Source organism: Homo sapiens, chromosome 4 (genome assembly GCF_000001405.40).
Source record: "Homo sapiens chromosome 4, GRCh38.p14 Primary Assembly".
Taxonomy (NCBI): Eukaryota; Metazoa; Chordata; class Mammalia; order Primates; family Hominidae; genus Homo; species Homo sapiens.
This window is the reverse complement of record NC_000004.12, coordinates 88,674,053-88,697,908: the sequence shown is the minus strand read 5'-3', so window position 1 is coordinate 88,697,908 and position 23,856 is coordinate 88,674,053. Positions and strand designations below refer to the sequence as shown.

The 23,856-nt window shown below is 38.0% G+C and overlaps 2 protein-coding genes and 1 pseudogene across 10 annotated transcripts in view; 2 read left to right on the top strand and 1 right to left on the bottom strand.

Annotated features, from left to right (window-relative positions):
- HERC3 (HECT and RLD domain containing E3 ubiquitin protein ligase 3) overlaps window positions 1–23,856 on the bottom strand; it is a 184,697-nt gene that overhangs the window by 10,631 nt on the left and 150,210 nt on the right. For 6 of the 9 annotated variants that reach the window (NM_001375483.1, NM_001375482.1, NM_001375479.1 and 3 more), the window contains 6 exons: window positions 21,486–21,575; window positions 19,775–19,945; window positions 17,673–17,816; window positions 16,584–16,750; window positions 11,107–11,173; window positions 10,610–10,692 (listed from right to left, as the gene is read on the bottom strand). In NM_001375483.1, the coding sequence (NP_001362412.1) occupies window positions 10,610–10,692; window positions 11,107–11,173; window positions 16,584–16,750; window positions 17,673–17,816; window positions 19,775–19,945; window positions 21,486–21,575 (722 nt within the window). Of the gene's footprint in view, window positions 1–10,609; window positions 10,693–11,106; window positions 11,174–16,583; window positions 16,751–17,672; window positions 17,817–19,774; window positions 19,946–21,485; window positions 21,576–21,667; window positions 21,692–23,856 lie in introns of all 9 variants that reach the window. The other 3 variants (NM_014606.3, NM_001271602.2, NM_001375480.1) reach the window with 2 other exon arrangements.
- Window positions 80–1,996, top strand: NAP1L5 (nucleosome assembly protein 1 like 5). The gene has a single exon (NM_153757.4). It carries the CDS (start codon window positions 155–157, stop codon window positions 701–703), a length of 549 nt encoding a protein of 182 aa, NP_715638.1. The 5' UTR covers window positions 80–154; the 3' UTR covers window positions 704–1,996.
- Window positions 12,955–13,061, top strand: RNU6-33P (RNA, U6 small nuclear 33, pseudogene; annotated as a pseudogene).

Genomic DNA, 23,856 nt, shown 5'->3' with positions numbered 1-23,856 from the left:
AGTGCCGCGAAAGCAGGAGGCGGGGCCGCGGCCAACGTCATTCCCGCGGCCGCACGTCACCGCCACTTGCCGCATCCGCAAGATCTCTCTGGACCAGCTCGGGTGCAGGGCCTCTGCGGGAGCCCTCCTAGACCTCTGCGGCTTCTCCTCTAACATGGCCGACTCGGAAAACCAGGGGCCTGCGGAGCCTAGCCAGGCGGCGGCAGCGGCGGAGGCAGCGGCAGAGGAGGTAATGGCGGAAGGCGGTGCGCAGGGTGGAGACTGTGACAGCGCGGCTGGTGACCCTGACAGCGCGGCTGGTCAGATGGCTGAGGAGCCCCAGACCCCTGCAGAGAATGCCCCAAAGCCGAAAAATGACTTTATCGAGAGCCTGCCTAATTCGGTGAAATGCCGAGTCCTGGCCCTCAAAAAGCTGCAGAAGCGATGCGATAAGATAGAAGCCAAATTTGATAAGGAATTTCAGGCTCTGGAAAAAAAGTATAATGACATCTATAAGCCCCTACTCGCCAAGATCCAAGAGCTCACCGGCGAGATGGAGGGGTGTGCATGGACCTTGGAGGGGGAGGAGGAGGAGGAAGAGGAGTACGAGGATGACGAGGAGGAGGGGGAAGACGAGGAGGAGGAGGAGGCTGCGGCAGAGGCTGCCGCGGGGGCCAAACATGACGATGCCCACGCCGAGATGCCTGATGACGCCAAGAAGTAAGGGGGGCAGAGATGGATGAAGAGAAAGCCCACGAAGAAAAAAGCCTGGTTTTGTTTTTCCCAGAATATCGATGGACTTAAAAAGGCTCAGGTTTTTGACCAAAATACAATGTGAATTTATTCTGACATTCCTAAAATAGATTAAATTAAAGCAATTAGATCCTGGCCAGCTCGATTCAAATTTGACTTTCATTTTGAACATAATAAATATATCAAAAGGTGTTAAAGAAAACTGAATTAAACCCAAAATTATGTTTTCATGGTCTCTTCTCTGAGGATTGAGGTTTACAAAGGGTGTTAGCAGATGCGAAGTAAAGAACGTCACTTTGAAACCCATTCATCACACAGCATACGCTACACATGGAACACCCAAGCCATGACTGAACACGTTCTCAGTGCTTAATTCTTAAATTTCTTTACTCATGACATTTCGCAGTGCAGAGAAGGCAGAACCCAAGAAAAACGTCATCTTTGAGACTTTGCTTTTGTAACGCAGACATCAGCTTTACACTTCACAGGAGATTGATGGCATTGAGGAAGATTGCAATGGAGATCATGACACTACTGTTAATAAGGCCAGGAAAACTGCCATTTCAAGTTCTGAAAAATGTTTTGAGTATTTGAATTTAGAGAAACAACATGGTTCCAAGAAGGAGGGTGTAAAACCTGTAAAATACTGTCAACATATGTATTCATTAGTTACAATCTCATGTTTGTGTTTTCTTAGTACTGTCTATTTACAAACACGTAAAAAATACCCCAAATATGTTTAAGTATTAAATCACTTTACCTAGCGTTTTAGAAATATTAATTTACTTGAAGAGATGTAGAATGTAGCAAATTATGTAAAGCATGTGTATCCAGCGTTATGTACTTTGCGCCTTGTGACGTCTTTCTGTCATGTAGCTTTTAGGGTGTAGCTGTGAAAATCATCAGAACTCTTCACTGAAGCTAATGTTTGGAAAAAATATATACTTGAAGAACCAATCCAAGTGTGTGCCCCTACCCCCAGCTCAGAAGTAGAAAGGGTTTAAGTTTGCTTGTATTAGCTGTGCCTTCATTATTTTGCTATGTAAATGTGACATATTAATTATAAAATGGTGCATAATCAAATTTTACTGCTTGAGGACAGATGCATACAGTAAGGATTTTTAGGAAGAATATATTTAATGTAAAGACTCTTAGCTTCTGTGTGGGTTTTGAATTATGTGTGAGCCAGTGATCTATAAAGAAACATAAGCTTAAAGTTGTTTATCACTGTGGTGTTAATAAAACAGTATTTTCAAAAAATATATATAAAAGACTCGGTACTGTGACTGCCTGCATTCAAATCCCAGCTCTGCCTCCTATTAGTAATGTACCTTAGGCAACTCAGCTAATACTCTCAGTGGCCAGTTTCTCCTCATCTACAAAAGGGAATAGGAATAGTCCCTTCCTCATGGGTTACTATGAAGAGCAAATGGATTAATACATATAAATCCTATAGAATAGCATCCAAACCATGGTAAGTGCTGAATAATTCTTAGCTATTATTATTACATGAAAGATAAAGACAGTGATTGGAAATTCAATCCTCCTCTCCTGTTACAAAATGGGAGAAAGAGACATCACTACATCCCTCCCTATGTTTTTGATTCCTTATTATGAGAGAAGAATGTGGCCTTTAATTCAGAAATGCAGGAAATTAAATAAACTATCTTGTTTTGGTTTCCTCAATATAATATCAGGTTTTTATCATCTCCCAGAAAGGATAAAAAAGGCTATTTCAACTTTATGTTTGCTTCATTCTGAATGAAGCAGAAAGTTTTTTTTAAAAACTGGACTCCAGAAAAATTAAAAAATCAGATGCCATTTGCTTCCTTTTCCCTGAAGGGTTAAAATTACAAAGAAGCAAAATTATATTGCTTTATCCTAGGGAATGGAAGGCAGCACTGACCTGTTGCTAATCACAACAGATTGTTGAGTACAAACAACCTTAAGGTAAAGTTAATCTTCATTATGCTCAGGCCAACCAAAAGAGAAAATCAGAATAATACGTTACATACAAAGTTCTGATTATCTTAATCATATGATTATCTTAATAGAGAAAAAATCTAATAAAATTTAATATTGATTTCTTATATCCAGGAATGAGAGAGACTATCATTTTACTATTTTTCTGGTTCCAGTAAAAAGCAAAAACGATTGAAACACAACTAAGAGGCATAAGTATTGGGAAATGTTTTTTACATATAGAAAACCCAAGAGAATCAACTGGAAAACAATTCAATTTAATAAGTTTGATGAACTGACCAGTTATCAGATAAATACACAAAAACCAATAACCATTTATAGGCACTAATAATGATCAAAATATATGTGAAAGGCTCTCAGAGTAAAAATAAGAAATCAAAACATTTATAAAACCTCTAATAAGAAATGTGTATGACCTATGTAAAAATAAAAAACAAACATAACATAAGCCTTTGGATAGTAAGACTGAATATCACAAAAACGTCAGTTCTTCCCAAATTAACTTTTATCACAATTCTAATCAAAACTCAAACTGGATCTGGAACCTAATATAATTACCATAATGTTCACCTTAAGAACAGCTAAGAAAACCTTTAGCAATTTGGAAACAGTTTAGATTTTTACCTCAGACTACAGACTAACTGAAGAAAATATATTAAATATCAATTACTGGACAGGGAATGGCTAGGATTAGAGTGGTATAAGACCAAAAGAAATAACACACATGACAACACAAAAATTAAGAAATCACAGAGTTAAAGACACACTCTACATTTTCAAAACCAAAAACAGAGGATAAAACCTACAATAAATATGGATGGCAAAGGGTTAATAGTCATAAACATAATGAAGAGTTCCTATGAATCATATGAAAATTATTAAGTCCTACTAGAGAAATACATAAAGGACATCAGCAGAGTCTCTAAAAAGAGGAAAGACTGCAAACCCTGCCTGAGGCAGAAAGAACTCACCTAATGCTGCGTGTTCCTGAACCTGCAGCACTAGGTGAGCCGGGGCTCTGGCAGGGTCTAGAGACAAGTGTTCCTAGCTATGTGCTCTGGCCAGCAATCTTTCTTTTGTTTATGATAAGATTTTAGCTGTGGGGTTTTCTAGCTTAGAGAATTGTTGGCCACTTCTCTAAGGATACAGGGATGTTTGTGACGTCAAGCGATTTCTGCCACTTCCTAACTGGGCTAATCTTTATATTGTTTCCTGGACTGCTTATTTGATAGTTTCTCTGGCAACCCTAAAACCTGCATGTTAACATCTAACAGGATACCCTTGCTTCAAGGTAGGTCAAACACTATCATTCATAAACCATTTTAACCTATTATAGGCCAAAATTAGTCAACAAAGCACAAAATAACTGGCAGAAAGAAAGGAAGCATGCAATACACACTCAACCAACTCTCTGAGTATTACGCAGAAAACTGGCATGCCGATGCTTACTGTGAAAAATGGCATGGCAGCTCTCTCTGCCTGAGAATGTACACTCAATGCATACACATAGACACATTTACACATATACACACATGTACACACTTTATTGAGGTGAAATTTGCATAACATAAAATTAACCATTTTAAAGGGAACAATTCAGTGGCGTTTTGTACATTCATAATGCTGTGCAACCACCACCTTCTAGTTAATTCATTTTTTAAACAAATATTTTAGAGGTAAACAGCAGTAAAATAGATCAATACTGTGTAGACTATGTAAAGTAGCCTATGTGTGAAAGAAATGCAACTTTTTTTTTAAAGAATACACACCATGTTTCTAAGGACTGGATGAAATGGTGATAATGACATATAAGGGAGTATAATTCATTAGCAAAATCAATTTATCAAAAATATCTACCAACAAATTCAAATGTTATACATTTTAATTCCATTTCACCCCTGAGACCTTATCATTAAAAAGCAAATTTAAAGGCACAAAATCCTTTATACACAAAAGATACTTGATATAGTCTTATTAAAAATGGTGGTGGGGGGGAAGAGAAAAAAGAGGAATAAAAAAGAACATACAAACAAGCCAAATATTCAACAGTGAAGAAACAGAAAAATACACATTCACATAGCAAACCATGGCAGTCACTATTAAGGGCATTCATGAGTACTCTGAAATAGCATTTTAAATATAAGCATTGTCTTCACCTAAGTTTAAAAATTCAGACATTCCATTCCATATGTATATTAGTTATGTTTTTAACTATTACAATTTTGCTTTTTGAAAACATTACCTAGTCAGCCTGAAACGAAAAACAGCAAAGTCTTCAAAGTCATTTTTCTTCCTAGGGCGAAAGGAGGATGGGAACTCTTGAGCCCCAGCCTTAGCCCCTGAGAGGCCATATGCTGGTACCCATGGAGCGCAGTCTAACTCAAACCACCTGGCTTTGAATCCTGGCTCTGGTTTAGAATCCTGGACTTCTAGCTGTGTAACGTTGAACAAGAGACTTATGCCTGTCTGTGCCTCAGTTTCCTCCTCAGTAAATGGGGAGTCTTACATGTAAAATATTTCAAATAGTGTCTGATGCATGGTAAGCACTCAAGAAGTGTTACTGGCATTTTAATTCTGCAGTTCCTGTAATAGTCCAGTGCAAATACAATGCAGATCTTAAAGACTGCATCCCTCAGAAACTATCCTGAAAGATCAACTGAAGTCTGCCAGCGGTCCTGAAGTAGATCTTAAGGAGCAAGAAGTGTTTGTCATGCATGAGTTTTATTCTCAGGTTCTCACTACGGAATCTAGATGCCCTTTGAAGCACTTACCTTAAGTTTGGCATTTCTTACTATGTGATCTCTTTACTCTACTCTCTGCCCCCCACTGCCCCACCCCCCAGCCCCATGTGTGTGTCATCTGTTTCTTTTTTAATATGGGGAAAATGGGAAGACAGCAATTGCATTTAATTTGATTGCATCAAATTAAGGTAAATTTTAGGGAATCTAGAATGACATATGGGTTTTTCACTAATGGTAATTAACACCATATTATAGACCATAAGAAATGCTTAACCATGAGTAGTCATGTGATATAGTATTATCCAGATGTGACTACCAGCTGGTGGCAAGATTTGTCTATGATGCAGCCACCAGTAATCAGCCACAGATGTTCTTTTACCTGGATGCCTACAACTCATTTGACTGTGTAGGTTCTGTCCAAGGATAGAAAGCATTTTAAAACCAAATGAAATGGAATAAATTATGAATACAGAATTGGTATTCCTCTGGCATTTTCCCCTGGGGCAGCAATGCCAGCAAATATCTTACTGTTAACAAAAACAGCCTCAATGCCAGAAGTATCTGTGTATACAACTGCCTAAGTTAAAAGGCCAGTAGGTATTCTTCTTACAGCTATTTCATTTTCTTAGTCATATAATTTAGGACTGCTAATGACTACATTATGGCATATAGCCAAGGAAATAATGACTATAATGATCAATCTTTTACAACTTCATACAGCCTTTCTTACCAGGACCTCAATGTACTTTGTTGGTAAGATTTCTATTTTGTGCAGCATAAAATGAAAAGAAAAAAAAATTCATTCATGTCTTTTTCTGGTGGTCCCTAACCAAAACAGCTATAGTAAAGAGTACAGCAGTAACCATGAATGGGACTGGTGTCCTTATAAGAGTCATGAGAGCTTGCTTCCCAACGCTGCTCTCCACCATGCTAGGATACAACGAGAAGTCAGCAGTCTGCAACGTGGAAGAAGGCCCTCGCCAGAACCTAACCATGCTGGCAGCCTAATCTTGGACTTCCGGCCTCCAGAACATGACAAATACATTTGTGTTGTTTATAAGCCATCCAGTTTATCGTACTTTTTTACAGCAGCCCAAAGACAAACAGGTAACTGTGACAGCAACAGGGTCTCCTGCCTGTCACTGAGTGACACAGACATATACATCAGTGCCTAAAGTAGCATGGATGAGTTCACAGTGTATTCAATGAGTACTCTGAAAAACCGAAATCTAAATTTCTACCTAGTACAGAAGCTGTTCTGTACATCTTGAACACAGTAAAATGCAATCAAAATTTCTGTCTGAAACGACAACTCAGATTTTTCCATCCCTTTACAGAGCACCTTTCATGTTTATATCCTCTTCTCTACTTTCTAGTATCCAAATCTTAGTAGGCTTCCAAACTTAGCTCTATCCCATATCTGTCCTCCCAGATGCATCTGTCCAAGCTGACTTCTCTGAACGCCTTCAGATTCAACCACCCAATTTAGTCTTCATATTCCATTTATGGTTGCATCTGGATACAGCTTATCACCCTAAACAAACTGTGTTATATTTTACTATTCCTGCAGTTTCTCCCACAACTGTTGAGTCAATTCAATTGTTGATTCAAAGAAATGTCTGTTGAATAAGGAGAAAGACAGTGAGAGTGACAGGGAGAGAGAAATGGAGAAACAGAAAGGGAGAAAAATTCAGACTCAGAAAGAGAACAAAAAAGACAGAGACAAAAAATATGCTAAGAGAAATAACTTGACAAAGATATGAAAAGGAGTAATAAGGCAGTTCTGGCCACTGCCTCAATTGCAGACTACATTGCCAATTGCCTATTCCTGCACTAGGTCATTCATTTCCCCAGCCACTGTATCATACTCACAGAGCACTATGATGACTCAGCAGAGGATGAGGACACTCTGAATGTTCCCCTTCCTCAGGATGCTTGCCTATCCCATTGTTAGCTTCTAACAAATGATGCACACATTATCTTGTCTGAAACTTAATGCAAAAGCTAAGACATTGTTTGAAAGACTAAAGGTTACGTATGTATCTACATACGTACTCACACGCATCTACAATGTTATAAAGCAATCCCCAAAACCAGGAGGGAAGGGAAATCAGCTGGGCTAACAAATCTGCTTTATGATCTGCCATAAATTTCCCAATTCTAAAAACATTATCTGACTATATGGAATAAAAAGCCTGGTCTTATTAAGGAAATAAACATCCTGAAGATAAATTATTTACTGTTAACAAAAGTACCAATGTTATATAAAGGAAACTGCTTTTAGCCCCAAGAGATTCTTATCAAGGGTTTTGATTGCAACATTCTTACTTGAATCAAGACTAGCCTCTATATTAGGTTTCTAGAGCCAAGATAATTCCATCAACTGAAGCCAGTTTTGTTGGGTGTCTGGGTGGCTTCTGCATCATTTCACTCAACTCTGATACTATAGCTCACTTTCCCCAAAGCTGAGGCTTCTTGGATAGTCTGGAAGGTTAACATGACAAAAAAAAAATGGTTAATGAATGATGTATGAGATCATACTAGCTTCGAGTCGTTTGTTAAAATGTCAAGGATGGGCCAGGAGCGGTGGCTCATGCCTGTAATCCCAGCACTTTGGGAGGCCGAGGCGGGCAGATCAGCTCAGGTCAGGAGTTCGAGACCAGTCTGGCCAACATGGCAAAACCCCATCTCTACTAAAAATACAAAAATTAGCCAGGCATGGTGGTACACGCCTGTAATCCTAGTTATGCGGGAGGCCGAGGCAGAAGAATCACTTGAACCCAGGAGGTGAAGGTTGCAGTGAGCCGAGATTGCACCACTGCACTCCAGCCTTGGAGACAGAGTGAGACTCTGTCTCGAAAAAAAAAAAAAGTAGTCAAGGATGGAAGAAGAAGTCTGTCAATATTTTTTTTTTTTTTTTGGCGGGGGCGGGGGGAGATGAGGTCTTGCTTTGTTGTCCAGGCTGGAGTGCAGAGGCATGATCATGGCTTACTACAGCCTCCACTTTCCAAGCTCAAGTGATCCTCCCACCTTAGCCTCCTGAGTAGCTGGAACTACAGATGTGCACTGCCACACACCTGGCTAATTTTTTTTTTTTTTTTTTACTTTTTTGTAGAGACTTGGTTTTGCTATCTTGCCCACGCTGGTCTTGAACTTCTGAGCTCAAGCAATTCACCCACCTTGGCCTCCCAAAGTTCTGGAATTACAGGCATGAGCCACTGCATCCAGCCCATTCCTATTTTCAAAAGGAAAGATTATGAAAGAAAATCAAGATAGATCACTTGGATAGAGTGAATTTAATAGGATCTCCAATTGCATCTTCCCAACTATTTAGAGGAAGAAGCCAATAAAAGTCCAGAGTGAGTTTTACTTAATTTTCCTGCATGCGTACAAACAGCATCTAGTTTCTCCACATCTGTATCTTTTTTCATAGCTTAAATGAAACCTTGCTTTCCTCTCTAAAGGCTTCCAAAGAAAGACTGTCATTCTCTCACCTTTCCCACCCCCTACCCGCTCTTTCCTTAAGCCAGGAAGTTTCAATGCTAGCCTATGTGCAAATTATGCTCAAATCCTCAAGAGTCTGCATTTTATTCTAACTTATATAGCTCCTCTAAGAAATTACGTTTTCCTTGCTCTTGTTTTTCATTTCACCACTTCTTTCTTGTTGATTCTTGCTGTAAGCGACCTCAAATTTAATAGTGATTGAGGCTCACATAACTAATTAAAAAATATTCATATAAGACTTCTTTATTGAGATATATAAATTTTCTGCTCTAAACACAATCACCTGGGTATCACAAAGACATATCAAAATCAATATATTCAAAATGGAACTTTCCCTTGAACCTGCTTTATAGACTCTGTTTCCTATTAGTGTTTGAATTAGAAACCTCAGCATTATTATCAATATATAACTCTCTCATACCATCCATATATAATCAGACACTAGCTCCTATTTGGTTATATAACCAACTCTGTTTCCCACTGCCTTCATTCTGGCTGTTAACATCCTTTACCTGAGCTACCTCAAAAGCCTCCTAATGGGTATCCCTGCACACGGTCTATTTCCACAGGACCCCCAAAGTAATCTTTCTAAAATAGAAACCAATCATGTTCTACTCCAAGCGCCGTTCAAGGCCTTGATAACCTCCACTCTGATGCTACTATAGTCTCCCTTCATCCGTACACCAGTACCCACTCCACAAGTACCCAACATTCTCTATCATGTGTCAAACTGCAGAGTCCCAACTCATCTGGTGCCTAAAATGTTTCCTCCAACTTGCATTCTTTAGTGTCTGATAAAAGTGTTGTAGCCTCTTACCCTAGTACCGTGGCACCTGGGCTACAACTTCTATCACATACACTGGATTCTATTGCAATTATTCCATACATTGACCCTTCTCAACTAATCCCAAAGCTTCTAAGGATAGAAGTTATTCACCCTCTATACCCAGCACTATGGCTGGCACACAGTGGGCACTCAGTGTTTGTAAAGTAAATTGATTTCATGCAGATTAGCATAATTTAATATAAAAGTAAGCAAAATTGAGTATCTTCTCTCCTCTAAAGAGTTAACTCAGAGATTATGAATCATCCTGAAAAATCAAATGTACTTGAATTTGTTGTTATGATCCAGACTCTATGACAAATCAATCAGCAGTAAAATAGCAGTGATAGTAAGCACCTTTATAAAATTCATTTCTTCAACACATATTTTTTGAGTATTTTTGTGCCAGGCACTCTGTTAGATACTAGAAACTCTGTGCTAGATGCTGGGAGTCCATTCATTCCAAAGTATTTTCCTGTGAATTATCTCATTTCATTCTCACAACCATCCCATGAAGTAGAGAGCACAGTGATTATAATCCCCATTTGGCAGATGAGAAAACTGAAACCAGTTTACGTAACTTGCTCAGAGTCAAAGCCAAAAAGATGCAGCTCTAGAACTAAAACAGTCATCTCCTGAATCTAGGCCGGGTGCTTGCTCTGCTTTAAAAATTATTTAAAATCTGTAAATTATTGCCCTATCACCCTTACTTACCTCCTCTGAAGAAGGTATTAATATTAAAAAGTAATTTTTATTTTGGTCTTAAATGTAAAACTGCAGAAATATGAAGTAGCAGTATCTGCAACAGTCCAAGGTCAGGACTAACCTGTTATCCTTGCACACAGTTACATTATCTCCCCCAGGTATCAGCTTCTTCTGTTCAATCACTCCATAGCTTTCTCGGCAGATCTATATTTAAGGTGGAAAAAAGAAATATTTCAATTTTGTTAACCATTCATCTTTCTAGAACTCAAATGACTGAGAGAGGCTTTAGGAACAAATGTAGTTTCATGACTATTACAGAAAATTAGTGGGAGAATAATCAGAACTTGAGTCAGAAAACATTAGCAGGTTAAAAAACATCTTTTGTTTTAGGACATGGAGTTGCCAATAAATGCAATAAATAACAGATTAATCATTCATTCATTTATTCAACACGCCCACTGAACCCCTATAACACTCAAGACACTATGACTAAAATAATTTGATTCAAAGAAGTCTCTGACTTTTTTCTATGATTTGAAGAAGAACTAATGTTAAATATCACTCTAAAGATGGTAAGAGAGACAGCCACAATCCTAAGTAAACTGTGGAAATTCTTACCGTGAAGTTGAGGCAGAAAGTCTCCTCCACATCCTCCCCGGGGTAATCTAAAAGCTCTTGGAGACTCCTAATCATAGAATGACAGAAAAGGAAAAGTGGCAAGTCAGACACTGCTGCAACAGTGTTTCTACTTCAGTTACATGTCCAGACCATTTCCAAGGAAAAACTATGAAAGAAGATTCTGGAATAAACATAAATCCGGACGGACAGAAAATCATGTACCTACACCTTGCAGAGAATTATGGCACTAGACCTATAAAACATTCATTAATTATTCTCTCTTCTTACCGACAAATCTTATTAGACTTGAAAAGAAAATCAGATGGATTTTTAATCTGACATACTTGTGTCCTCTTAACTCTGGTGTAGCTTGCAAGTGTGTGTGTATACATATAAATGAGGAGATGGTATTGCAGGGGCCCTCCAGCCAGCTTCACCGGCTTATGCATTAGTAAAATAATCCTTCCATCAGACAAAATTTAAAAAGCCACAAAGTCACCACATCCACAGGAATCTTAGTGGCTTACTTGTTAATGCAGAAGTCTCTATATGGTAAAGACCAGGGGTGCCCAATCTTTTGGCTTCCCCAGGCCACATTGGAAGAAGAATTGCCTTGGGCCACACATAAAATACACTCACACTAATTTTTTTTTTTTAAGAGATGGAGAGAGGAAAAGAAGTTGTTTTGAGAGGTTATGCATTGCACAGGCATAACAAGCTGCCAAATGTGTCCATAAAAATACATTATCTCTGTGTAATTCAGCATAAAACACTGCTGTCTTCAACAACAATATAATTTTAAAAGATTGATTTCAGACACTCCAAAAATTCACAAGCCAAGAAAACTGTCATAGTTGTTCACCTTCTTCCTAATGTTAACCAGTGAAAAAAGAGCTTCTTTTTAAATATTTTGAGACTGAAGAGACATAAAAGTAAGTCTGGTTTTATTATTAGTACACAGATAAAATATATATAGAAGAAAACACATCTTTACTTTTTTTCACCCAGTTAGACTGGCTTTATTATTATTATTATTATTTTACTTTAAGTTCTGGGATACTTGTGCAGAACGTGCAGGTTTGTTACATAGGTATACATGTGCTATGGTGGTTTGCTGCACCTATCAACCTGTCATCTAGGTTTTAAGCCCCACATGCATTAGGTATTTGTCCTAATGCTCTCCCTCCCGTTCCCACCTCCACCACCCGAAAGGCCCCAGTGTGTGATGTTCCCCTCCCTGTGTCCACATGTTCTCATTGTTCAACTCCCACTTATAAGTGAGAACATGCGGTGTTTGGTTTTCTGTTCCTGTGTTAGCTTGCTAAGAATGATGGCTTCCAGCTTCATCCATGTCCCTGCAAAGGACATAAACTCATTCATTTTTATGGCTGCATAGTATTCCATGGTGTGTATGTGCCACATTTTCTTTATCCAGTCTATCATTGATGGGCATTTGGGTTGATTCCAAGTCTTTGCTATTGTAAATAGTGCTGCAATAAACATACGTGTGTGCATGTGTCTTTACAGTAGAATGATTTATAAATCCTTTGGATATATACCCAGTAATGGGACAGCTGGGTCAAATGGTATTTCTGGTTCTAGATCCCTGTGGAATCGCCACACTGTCTTCCACAATGGTTGAACTAATTTACACTCCCACCAACAGTGTAAAAGCATTCCTATTTCTTCAGAGCCTTGCCAGCATCTGTTGTTTCCTGACTTTTTAATAATCTCCATTCTGACTGGCGTGAGATGGTATCTCATTGTGGTTTTGATTTGCATTTCTTTAATGACCAGTGATGATGAGCTTTTTTCATACGTTTGTTGGCCACATAAATGTCTTCTTTTGTGCTCGCTTCAGCAGCACATATACTAAAATTGGAACGATACAGAGAAGATTAGCATGGCCCCTGCGCAAGGATGACACGCAAATTCGTGAAGCGTTCCATATTTTTTGAAAAAAAGTCTTCTTTTGAGAAGCATCTGTTCGTATCCTTTGCCCACTTTTTGATGGGGTTGTTTTTTTCTTGTAAATTTGCTTAAGTTCCTTGTAGATTCTGGATATTAGACCTTTGTCAGATGGATAGATTGCAAAAATTTTCCCCATTCTATAGGTTTTCTGTTCCCTCTGCTGATAGTTTCTTTTGCTGTGCAGAAGCTCTTTAGTTCGATTAGATCCGATTTGTCAATTTTGGCTTTTGTTGCCCTTGCTTTTGGTGTTTTAGACATGAAGTCTTTGCCCATGCCTATGTCCTGAATGGTATTGCCTAGATTTTCTTCTAGGGTTTTTCTTCTAGGGTTTTGGGTTTTTACATTTAAGTCTTTAATCCATCTTGAGTTAATTTTTGTATAAGGTGTAAGGAAGGGGTCCAGTTTCTGTTTTCTGCATATGCCTAGCCAGTTTTCCCAGCACCATTTATTAAATAGGGAATCCTTTCCTCATTGCTTGTTTTTGTCAGGTTTGTCGAAAATCAGATGATTGTAGATGTGTGGTATTATTTCTGAGGTCTCTGTTCTGTTCTATTGGTCTATATATCTGTTTTGGTACCAGTACCATGTTGTTTTGGTTACTATAGCCTTGCAGTATAGTTTGAAGTCAAGTAGCGTAATGTCTCCAGCTTTGCTTTTGCTTAGGATTGTCTTGGCTATATGGGCTCTTTTATGGTTCCATATGAAATTTAAGGTAGTTTTTTCTAATTCTGAACAGAAAGTCAATGGTAGCTTGATGGGAATAGTACTGAATCTATAAATTACTTTGGGAAGTAGGCCATTTTCACAATATTGATTCTTCCTATCCATGAGCATGGAATTTCTTTCCATTTGTTTGCGTTGTCTCTTATTTCTTTGAGCAGTGGTACACTAACACTAATGACAGCTAATGAACTAAAGAAGAAAAACTGCAAAAAAATCTCATGATGTTTTAAGAAAGTTTGTGAGTTTGTGCTGGGCTGCATTCAAAGCCGTCCTGGACCACACACAGCCTGCAGGCCGAGGGTTAGACAAGCTTGGTAAAAACACTTTATTATCTCTGTCACACTAACTAAAGAATAATGAAAAAAAGTACTCTTAAAAGAAGAATATGTTTATGGCAACAACAATCATATCCCAGCTCTCAAGAGAATACATTCTTATAACTAGCTCTCATTCACACTTTCTTCTTTAGTGAGCTCCAGTCTTGCAATTCTATCAAGAGTTGCCTGGAAAGAGAAGTCCTAGTGTGGAATTTAAATCTGCCACCAGTTAATCAGCCAAAGTCATTACTTGAAATACATAATTCTCAGCCACATAAGCAAAGTAAGGGACACACATTTCTGTTGCTCTCTAGCCTTTTCTTTCAGTTACCAAAAAATTAACACTGTCTGGGTCTCCTGTGCCACTTTTTAGTATTACTTCTAAGTTTTTTCTTCCACTCTGTGTGTCCTCCCATCCTTTATAGTTTCTCAGTATTGGTGTCCTATATGAGAGGGATACTCTCATTTATGGAGGGTACCTTCATCAGTATCCCTTCTCTACAAAAAGATGTTCCCTCCCGTTAAAGTTGTCCTTTTATATACTTGATCTGATGTGACCCAAAACCAATACAGAGAAACTCAAGAATAAAAGGAATTTTAAGAGCCAGAAAGAGAATAACATAACCCCATCAACAAGTGGGCAAAGGATATGAACAGACACTTCTCAAAAGAAGACATTTATGCAGCCAAAAGACACATGAAAAAATGCTCATCATCACTGGCCATCAGAGAAATGCAAATCAAAACCACAATGAGATACCATCTCACACCAGTCAGAATGGCGATCATTAAAAAGTCATGAAACAACAGGTGCTGGAGAGGATGTGGAGAAATAAGAACACTTTTACACTGTTGATGGGACTGTAAACTAGTTCAACCATTGTGGAAGTCAGTGTGGCGATTCCTCAGGGATCTAGAACTAGAAATACCATTTGACCCGGCCATCCCATTACTGGGTATATACCCAAAGGATTATAAATCATGCTGCTATAAAGACACATGCACACGTATGTTTATTGCGGCACTATTCACAATAGCAAAGACTTGGAATCAACCCAAATGTCCAACAATGATAGACTGGATTAAGAAAGTGTGGCACATATACACCATGGAATACTATGCAGCCATAAAAAATGATGAGTTCATGTCCTTTGTAGGGACATGGATGAAGCCGGAAACCATCATTCTCAGCAAACTATCACAAGGACAAAAAACCAAACACTGCATGTTCTCACTCATAGGTGGGAATTGAACAATGAGAACACATGGACACAGGAAGCGGAACATCACACACTGGGGCCTGTTGTGGGGTGGGGGGGTCGGGGAAGGATAGCATTAGGAAATACATCTAATGTTAAATGACGAGTTAATGGGTGCAGCACACCAACATGGCACATGTATACATATGTAACTAACCTGCACGTTGTGCACATGTATCCTAAAACTTAAAGTATAATTTAAAAAAAATAAAATGAAAATAAATATAAATATAAAAAAAATGTGGCTCTACTACTTTGGGAACATCGTGGAAGTTCCTCAAAAGGATAAATACAGAGTTACTCAGCAATTCTACTCCTAGGCATATACCAAGAGAAATGAAAACTTGCATTTGTACAAAAACTTGTGCACAAATGTTCATGGCAGTATTATTCATAATAGTCAAAACTGGAAACAACCCAATGTCCATCAACTGATGAATGGATAAATAAAATGTGGCATATCCATATAACAAAACACTATTTGGCAGTTTAAAAAATAAAATACAGTTGGCCCTTCATATTCACATGTTCCACATCCATGGATTCAACCAAAGGCCAATCAAAATTATAGTATTTGCAGAGAGGTTGACTGATGGGCGCAAATTACATTTTGATAGAAGAAATATGACCTAGTATTTGATAGATCAGTAGGATGACCATAGTTTACAATAATCTATTGTATATTTCAAAATAGAATAATTCGAGTGTTTCTAACATAAAGAGAAATATTTAAGGTGATGGATATCCCAGTTACACTGGTTTGAACTTTACAAATTATATAATGTATTATATTATCACATGTACCCCCAAAATATGTGTATCTATTTTGCCTCAACAACAAAAACAGTTTAATTAAAGAAAGAAAATACAGTATTTGCAGGGTGTAAAACCCAAGGATATGGAAGGTCAACTTTTCCAATCCATGGGTTCTTCTAGGGCCCCTGCAGGACTTGAGCACATGTGGATTTTGGTATCTGCAGGTTGTCCTGGAACTAATACCCCTCGGATACCGATACTGTACCGATAACACAGGCAATGTCTCAAGCAAGTAGCTGCACAGCTACATCTTAGACAAAACACACATAACAGGGTCTAACCACAGGATGCAATAAACTCAGATTTGTACAGATGGTATTTTCAACCTTTAATCCTCATGCCAGAGGCAGCCACAACAGTTTCAGATACCAATCGCCTTTTAGCTTTGTACCTTCCTTCAGTGGGTGACAACTCCTTTAAGTCTTCCAAGCCAGGCTTTACATTGAGTAACTTCTTGTAGAGAGCCAATGGGAAGTGGAGATCGACCACAGTGGAGTTGTAGATAGCTAGTCCACAGGTTATACCAATCAAGTGAAACCAGTTGTGCTCTACAAAACACTTTTTAGGACACATACAAATGTGTTAAAAAGAAATGCAATGTTTCTGGCCTTCAAACATTCTACCATTTCCCTCAAAATATTTTCAAAATAAAAGAATAAAGGTCTCATTAATATTTAGTTACCTTCTGTAGCAAAGAAACACCCTGACAAAAGTTGTTATCCCTTAAAGATGCAATGTAGACAGAGTTAAGCATTTGTACCTAGTGATACAGAGAACAGCTCACAGTCATCTAGAGCAGGGCCATCCAACAGAACTTTCAGCCATTATAGAAACATTCTATTCTGTCCCATCTTATATGGTAGCCACTGGCTACATGTGTCTACTAGGCACAGGAAATGTGGCTAGTACTATGGAGCAAATGAATCTTTGCTGTTACTTACTTTTAAATAAATAATATATAAATAACCACATGTGGCTAGTGCCTAGTGGCTACCTTTTGGTATGGTGCAGATCTAGGAAGAAAACTCTCATAGAAAAAAATGTAAATGACAGTCTGATTGAAATTAGAACGCCTTTAAAAACTTAGCTCTCCTACTGAAGTTTCAAAAATAAAGTGTGCATGCACATGTGTGTGAAAATATATTATCATAGTTATTAATATCAGACATATTTGATTATTGACCTTCCATATGTCACAAAACCAATTTATCACAGTTTCCTTTTACCCTTCTCAGATAACAAGACTTGGATCTTACCTACTAGAAATGGAAATGGGACTGAAGGCTCACAAAATGCACTATGAGGTCTTGGAAACAAGTATAAATGAAGACTGGATAAACATTTTAATTACTTATAAACATTTTGAATTATTATCCTTGTTATGTTCCCCTTTGCAAAGTTAGAAGTTAGGGGATTGGTCTGACAACAAAAAGAAAGTTTAATTTAATCCATCTGTTTAATTGTGACACCACTTACTTACCGTGTCTGAAAACCACAAGAGATTTGAATCTTGATAGTAGGTAAACATTCCATAGATGGGATTCAAAAGTTCTTTTAACAGCAAAAGAAAAAATTCCTTTGTAACACCACCGGCATCCACTGCTTCTTCACCATCAAAGATTACCTTAAAATAATAGAATAGAATTAATGCTTCCGGGAAATCTATGACACATTTTATCTCTTTTTAGCAGACCATTTTCTAAACTCAGGACAAAGGAAGGAAAGCATAACAAAGAATACACACTGATGCAATGAAAACTGCAAGGTGTGTCTGTTGATTATTGCTGGTGAAGTTTTAGCAAGGTACTTATAGATACATACAATTTTTACTAGGTGCTTCAAGGGATACAAAGGAAGTCAGAAATTTACCATGTGTCCTTAGAAAGTCTACCATCTATTGGCTGGGCGTGGTGGCTCACGCCTGTAATCCTAGCACTTTGGGAGGCCGAGGCAGGCAGATCACCTGAGGTCAGGAGTTCGAGACCAGCCTGGCAAACATGGTGAAAACCTGTCTCTACTAAAAATACAAAAATGAGCCTGGCATGGTGGTGGGCACCTGTAATCCACTACTCGGGAGGCTGAGACAGGAGTGTCGCTTGAATGTGGGAGGCAGAGGTTGCAGTGAGCCGAGATCGCACCACTGCACTCCAGCCTGGGCAACAAAGAGCGAAACTCCGACAAAAAAAAAAAAAAAGGTCTACCATCTACTTAAGCGCAGAAAGACAAACATAAAAGAAGCAGAGAATACTTTTTATTTTTAAAGAGTCAAATATATAATGAGAGGTAAATATTCTGGCACATAGAAAAAAATGATTTTTCATTTAACTTGAATAAAAGAACACTTTCTGGGAGAAATCACGCTCAATAGGGTTCTTGAAGTAACTGCTGCATGTAGAAGAGAAGAGGGTATTCTAATCAGACACAGACATGGGCTCTGTGAGGGAGTGGAAGTGGGCATGATGGATACATAATGGTTATCAACAGTAACAACTACAGCAAATCAACAAATGACATGGAGTTTACTACATGCCAGCTGTTAAACTCTGTAAACCTAATCCTCAGAACAGCCTTATGCATAGGGTACTATTATCATCCCCATTTCATAGATAATGACTCGGGCAGAGAACTAAAAACAGCATTCAACAAAGCTTACACTTGTGGCTGTCTTCAAGATTGCCTAGAGCAGGACAAGAGTAAAAATGGGACAGAGACTGGGACCTGGATTACACAGATGCCAGAAGAATACTGCTACAAAGTAAGAACTGCCTCACCTGAATTACCTATTGAAAACAGGGCAAAAAGAAAAGCTGTGTCAAAAATATAACCCAGAAGTTCTGGGAAGAACAACCAGGCAGATTGATACGACTGATGCTACTTATTAGGAATTTTGGAAAGGGTAAAAATATTATGGAGATGATCAGTTCATTTCATGCCTATTACATTTCTGAAAGTGGAACTCATAACAAGATTAGCAATAGGGATATGGAAGTTGTCTGAGGGAAAAGATGAATGACTTTAAACAATTTCATATAATTCACTAAGTATTTCTGGAATACCTACTGTGTACCAAACATTATGCTAAGCCCTGGAAATATGCATGATATATGGAGAGAGAAATTTTTTTTCACTTAATAATTTACAGGTACTAGGTGTGCCTCTCATAATAGGCCAATAGCTTCCCAGATGATTTTACTACCTTTCCATTTTCCTATTTTACCTTCTTTCTCTTAAATCTTTGATATCTACAATCTTCCTAAATGATAGCTTAATAGTGGTAATTAGTCAAAGCTTTCGTTTCTGTTGTTGTTTGCTTGTTTTTGATAGAGCTAGAACTGGTACACCAAAGACAGCAGAAGACAAAGAAAGCACTCTAATCTTTCAAATAATCCACTGGCATTTTTATCCAATGTTACATTGAGGTGTTCTGTTTGGTGATTTGACAAAAGTAGGTGATTAAATTCTTGCAAAATGAATGAAAGAATGGCTGCACCCCACAATTTTAATAAGATCACTGCTGCTTAATCAACACTGTTCAAAGAAAAATTGCGAAGGTATTTAGAGGAATATCCTGAAGGAACTCACTTTGAGAGGCTTTTTCAAATCAATATCAGAATGAATGCTCAGCTCTCTTAGGGCATCTCCAACAAGGTTGTTCCTGCGAACGTGAAGGACCAGGAAGGGGCTTCTGGCCAGCAGAGGCTCCAGGGTGAGAAGCATGAAGACATTCTGCAGGTTGGCTCCATTGACTGCCACCTGGAATGGCACAGTCAAGAAAGCAATTACTCAGAGCACACGTGTGAGTTGGGAGAGCAGTCAGCTGTGCTTCTGGACTTGGGGGCGCTGACTGCATCTCCATTTTGTTAATTTTTTTCCCTCTTAACTTCCACAGATTTTCTAAGTTACTTATGTTTACACAGCACTCAAGTCTTTCTAATCTGGACTCACAGAAATTAACTAAAACAGTTTATGAATCATATGATCTATAATCAGGTCCAGGAAAGTGACTTAAACTAGCTGATTAATACTAAAATAGTATCATGCTTGAAGAAACATGGTAGAAAGTGGGTAAAAACCACAACTTTCAAAATGGCAGGAAAAGAAAGCTAATAACCACTTGTTAAAAAGAGTTATTCTTTGAAAAATGTTCATTTCTCTTGAAAATCTCTAAACTGTCAATATCACAGATATAGCAACATGAAAACAAACATATATATAGATAGATGCAGTCGAGCTGGAAAGAGACAGACAAGCAGACAGTCAGAGAGATGGAGAGGGAAAGATAAATGAAGTTATGTATCTGTATCTACCAATGGTAGGAAGTGGAGGATTTGAGCCGCTAATTCACAAACGTTTTTGTGGCTTGTCAAAATCAATTATACTTTATAATAAAAATGTGTATTTAAAATAAATTATTAAGTAAATCTCTATAACAAGTTTTTATTCAACAAAGAATTCCCAAGTTCCATTTAATTCTCTATGTCAGGAGTCAGCAAACTGAGGCCCCACACATCAAATCCAGCCTTCTGTCTGTTTTTGCTTAGCTTTTGAGCTATTAATGGTTTCTACATTTCTTTTTTTTTTTGAGACAGAATCTTGCTCTGTCGCCCAGGCTGGAGTGCAGTGGCGCAATCTCGGCTCACTGAAACCTCCACATCCCGGGTTCAAGTGATTCTCCTGTCTCAGCCTCCCGCGTAGCTGAGATTACAGGTGGGTGCCACCACGGCCAACTAAGTTTTGTATTTAGAGACAGGGTTTTACCACGTTGGCCAGGCTGGTCTTGAACTCCTGACCTCTGATAAGCCTGCCTCGGCCTCCCAAAGTGTTAGGATTATAGGCATGAGCCACTGCACCCGGCATGGTTTCTACATTTTTTTAATGGGTGAAAAAAATTAAATGAAGAATAATCTTTCACCACATGTAAAAATTATATAATATGCAAATTTCAACATACATAAAGTTTTGTTGGAATATAGCCATGCTCATTCATTTATATATTGTCTATCACTGCTTTTGTGCTAAAATAGAGTTGAATAGTTGTAACAGAGACCATACGGTTCCCAAAGCTTAAAACATTTACTAAGTCATCCTTTTGCCAATCTCTAATCTACACAAATGTGTATTCACCTATGTGTGTTATATTCAACACAAAATTACTGAAAAGTTTCAAACAGTTTTAAGAATTACAATGGAATTTCAACCAAATATGTTTTCTCCTACTAGAAAAAATTACAACTGAATGTCTAGAATGGGAGAAACACAGTAAAAAGAAGAAATAATTTCTAAAATATGATACCTGCATCTGTAGTTCAGCATCTGTCTGTAACATTTTGGTCTTGGCTTGGGCATCAAAGATGAAAGGGTAGGAACAAAGTGTTACAGTATCCTAGAATAAAGCACATTATTGACAGTATTATACTATTCCACAGAAAGTATAGCTGGAAAAATATAAAAGCAAATTTAAAAAGGATCATTTACCTGTATTATTGATGGTCTAGCCTTCTGTGTAAAGAAAAATAAAAAGTCTCTTACTTAAATTGTAAACCCTGAATTTTAATCCCTCCAAAAGTAAAATATAAATAACAAAACACAGAACCAATCTGACTACTGGCCATAGAACTAACACCATTTGAATGGCTGACTAAATTTTGAGGGAAAAGATGTTTTGATGGCCACAGAATGAGAAAAAGAGCAAAAGCAATTAAAAAACATTTTCTTATGACCGTTAAAGGGCATGTCACTAACTCTCCACAATTCACAGCATTAATAGAATTCTCTTTTATAAGCAATCTAATTCCAAAACAGGAGCTTTACAACCTTGACTTCACAGGTTAATTTTTGTTGGGTAAAGTGGACAATACAAATTAGATTTTATTTGTTAAATGATGTTGCATCTTCCTACACACACACACACATACACACAGGCTGCTACTCTTAGGAGAAACCAAGTATTTGGAAAGAATTTCAGGTCTTTCTAAAAAGAACTTTATCTAGTAAGCTGTCACTGACTCAGCACTTAGACTAGTACTTGGCTTACAGAACACATTCCATCAATACGTGAATGCACCTGTGAATAAACTTTGGAGGGGAGTAATGGTAAAAAACCCACAACCACAATGAAGGACATCTAGGAGATATGTTATAGGTTCACTTTTTGTTAAGTTACGTAACAAACATTAACTTAATATTAACTTAATAGAAACAATAAAAAATCAACAATATAGGTTATGTTGATCTGTAGCAAGAATTCTCAAAAAGAAAACCATGGGTGTATTCTCAGAGATCTGGGAGTGCTCTATATTATTTCTTAATGATATCCTAAACAAAATTAGTAAAACACATTAAGTTACATTTGTTTGAATAACTGCATTGGCATCATGTTATTATTTAATCGTCCAGGTGTAGTGAGAAAAGAGAGAAGCAGTCTTGGCATGTGGATGCTCCATCTGCACCTAAGAAAAGGCCAGTGTGGTCCTGGCTTGCTGCATAAACATGGTTTAACAGCAGTTGAAGGAGAAAACAGAGGCGAGTCATCCCAGCCAGATGGGCAGTGGAACTCAAGCACCAGGGCCTGACAGCAGGCAGGCCACATCCACAATGCAACTAGGGTTTGGGTTCAGTAAGACATGTTTGATCATCACATAAAATCAATGAGGCTAATCTGCATTTTATTGCTGTTAGAGTTTTGTTTGTATTTAATTTATAAATTTGGTTTGGTTTTATAATTGTACTATATCAGTAGTATGCGAATAAGCAGCATGTGCCTCCTCTTGTCCTTATGGATATTTAAATAAAATCATTTATAAGCAATTTTAATTAAAATCTACCCTGTTAACCCTTTATAACTAGGTTCCTCCAGGGATCTTGGCACATTTCTCTAGACAGAGAAACACTAATTGAAGAAACAATTCCAGTCCAGTGAGATCAGGTATGAAATCCTGCATATATAATCCAGACCAATCTTACTCACTCTCATGCCTACATATCCAATTACTTTGAAGTTAGAAATCAAGATGACTAAAAACAAAAAAACAAAACCACACCATAAAACAGCACTATACAAAGCTAAGTCATCTTCTAGTCTAGGTACCTACAAAAGATATAAGCATCCTGGGAAAGAAAGTAGGCTTAAAACTGGTGCCAATATTCAGAATTTCCTAATCTGTCTCTCAGAAGAGATTAGTTTATGCAAAGCATTATCTGCCTATTCTCAAGGGAAAAGAAAGATCTTGAATGTGTGTTGGTCTATAAAGCAAGATAAAGTTTTAGATATTTCAAATATAAAAGTGACTGTGGAAGAAGTGATAATAAAAACAGTTCTGGCATTACAGAGTCCGAGCCTACTTAGTATTTTTAAGTACATACTGACATTTTAGTTGGTGTAATGCAGTTATTTCAGACATCAATCAGCAGTTTTGTCTGTATTCCTTGGCTCTTTCCAGTCCCACTCCTGTTCTCTGACTCTCTCCCCCCACCCTCTTCCTGTAACCCCCACCTTGAGCCTCCCTGCACCCCTTAAATACCCAGCTTCGGCAGCTTGTAGTCCCTCTAAGCATCCCTCACCTGACCCCTTCCCACACCCCAGAGGTGAAGGAACCCAGATTTGGAAGCGGGCTGATCTTTCTACTGGAGAAGGGGAGGAGTTAAATTGAGGGCAGGGTCACCAT

Excerpts from the sequence above, each read along its gene's own strand:
- NAP1L5 (NM_153757.4), top strand. The coding sequence starts at position 155 with ATGGCCGACTCGGAAAACCAGGGGCCTGCGGAGCCTAGCCAGGCGGCG.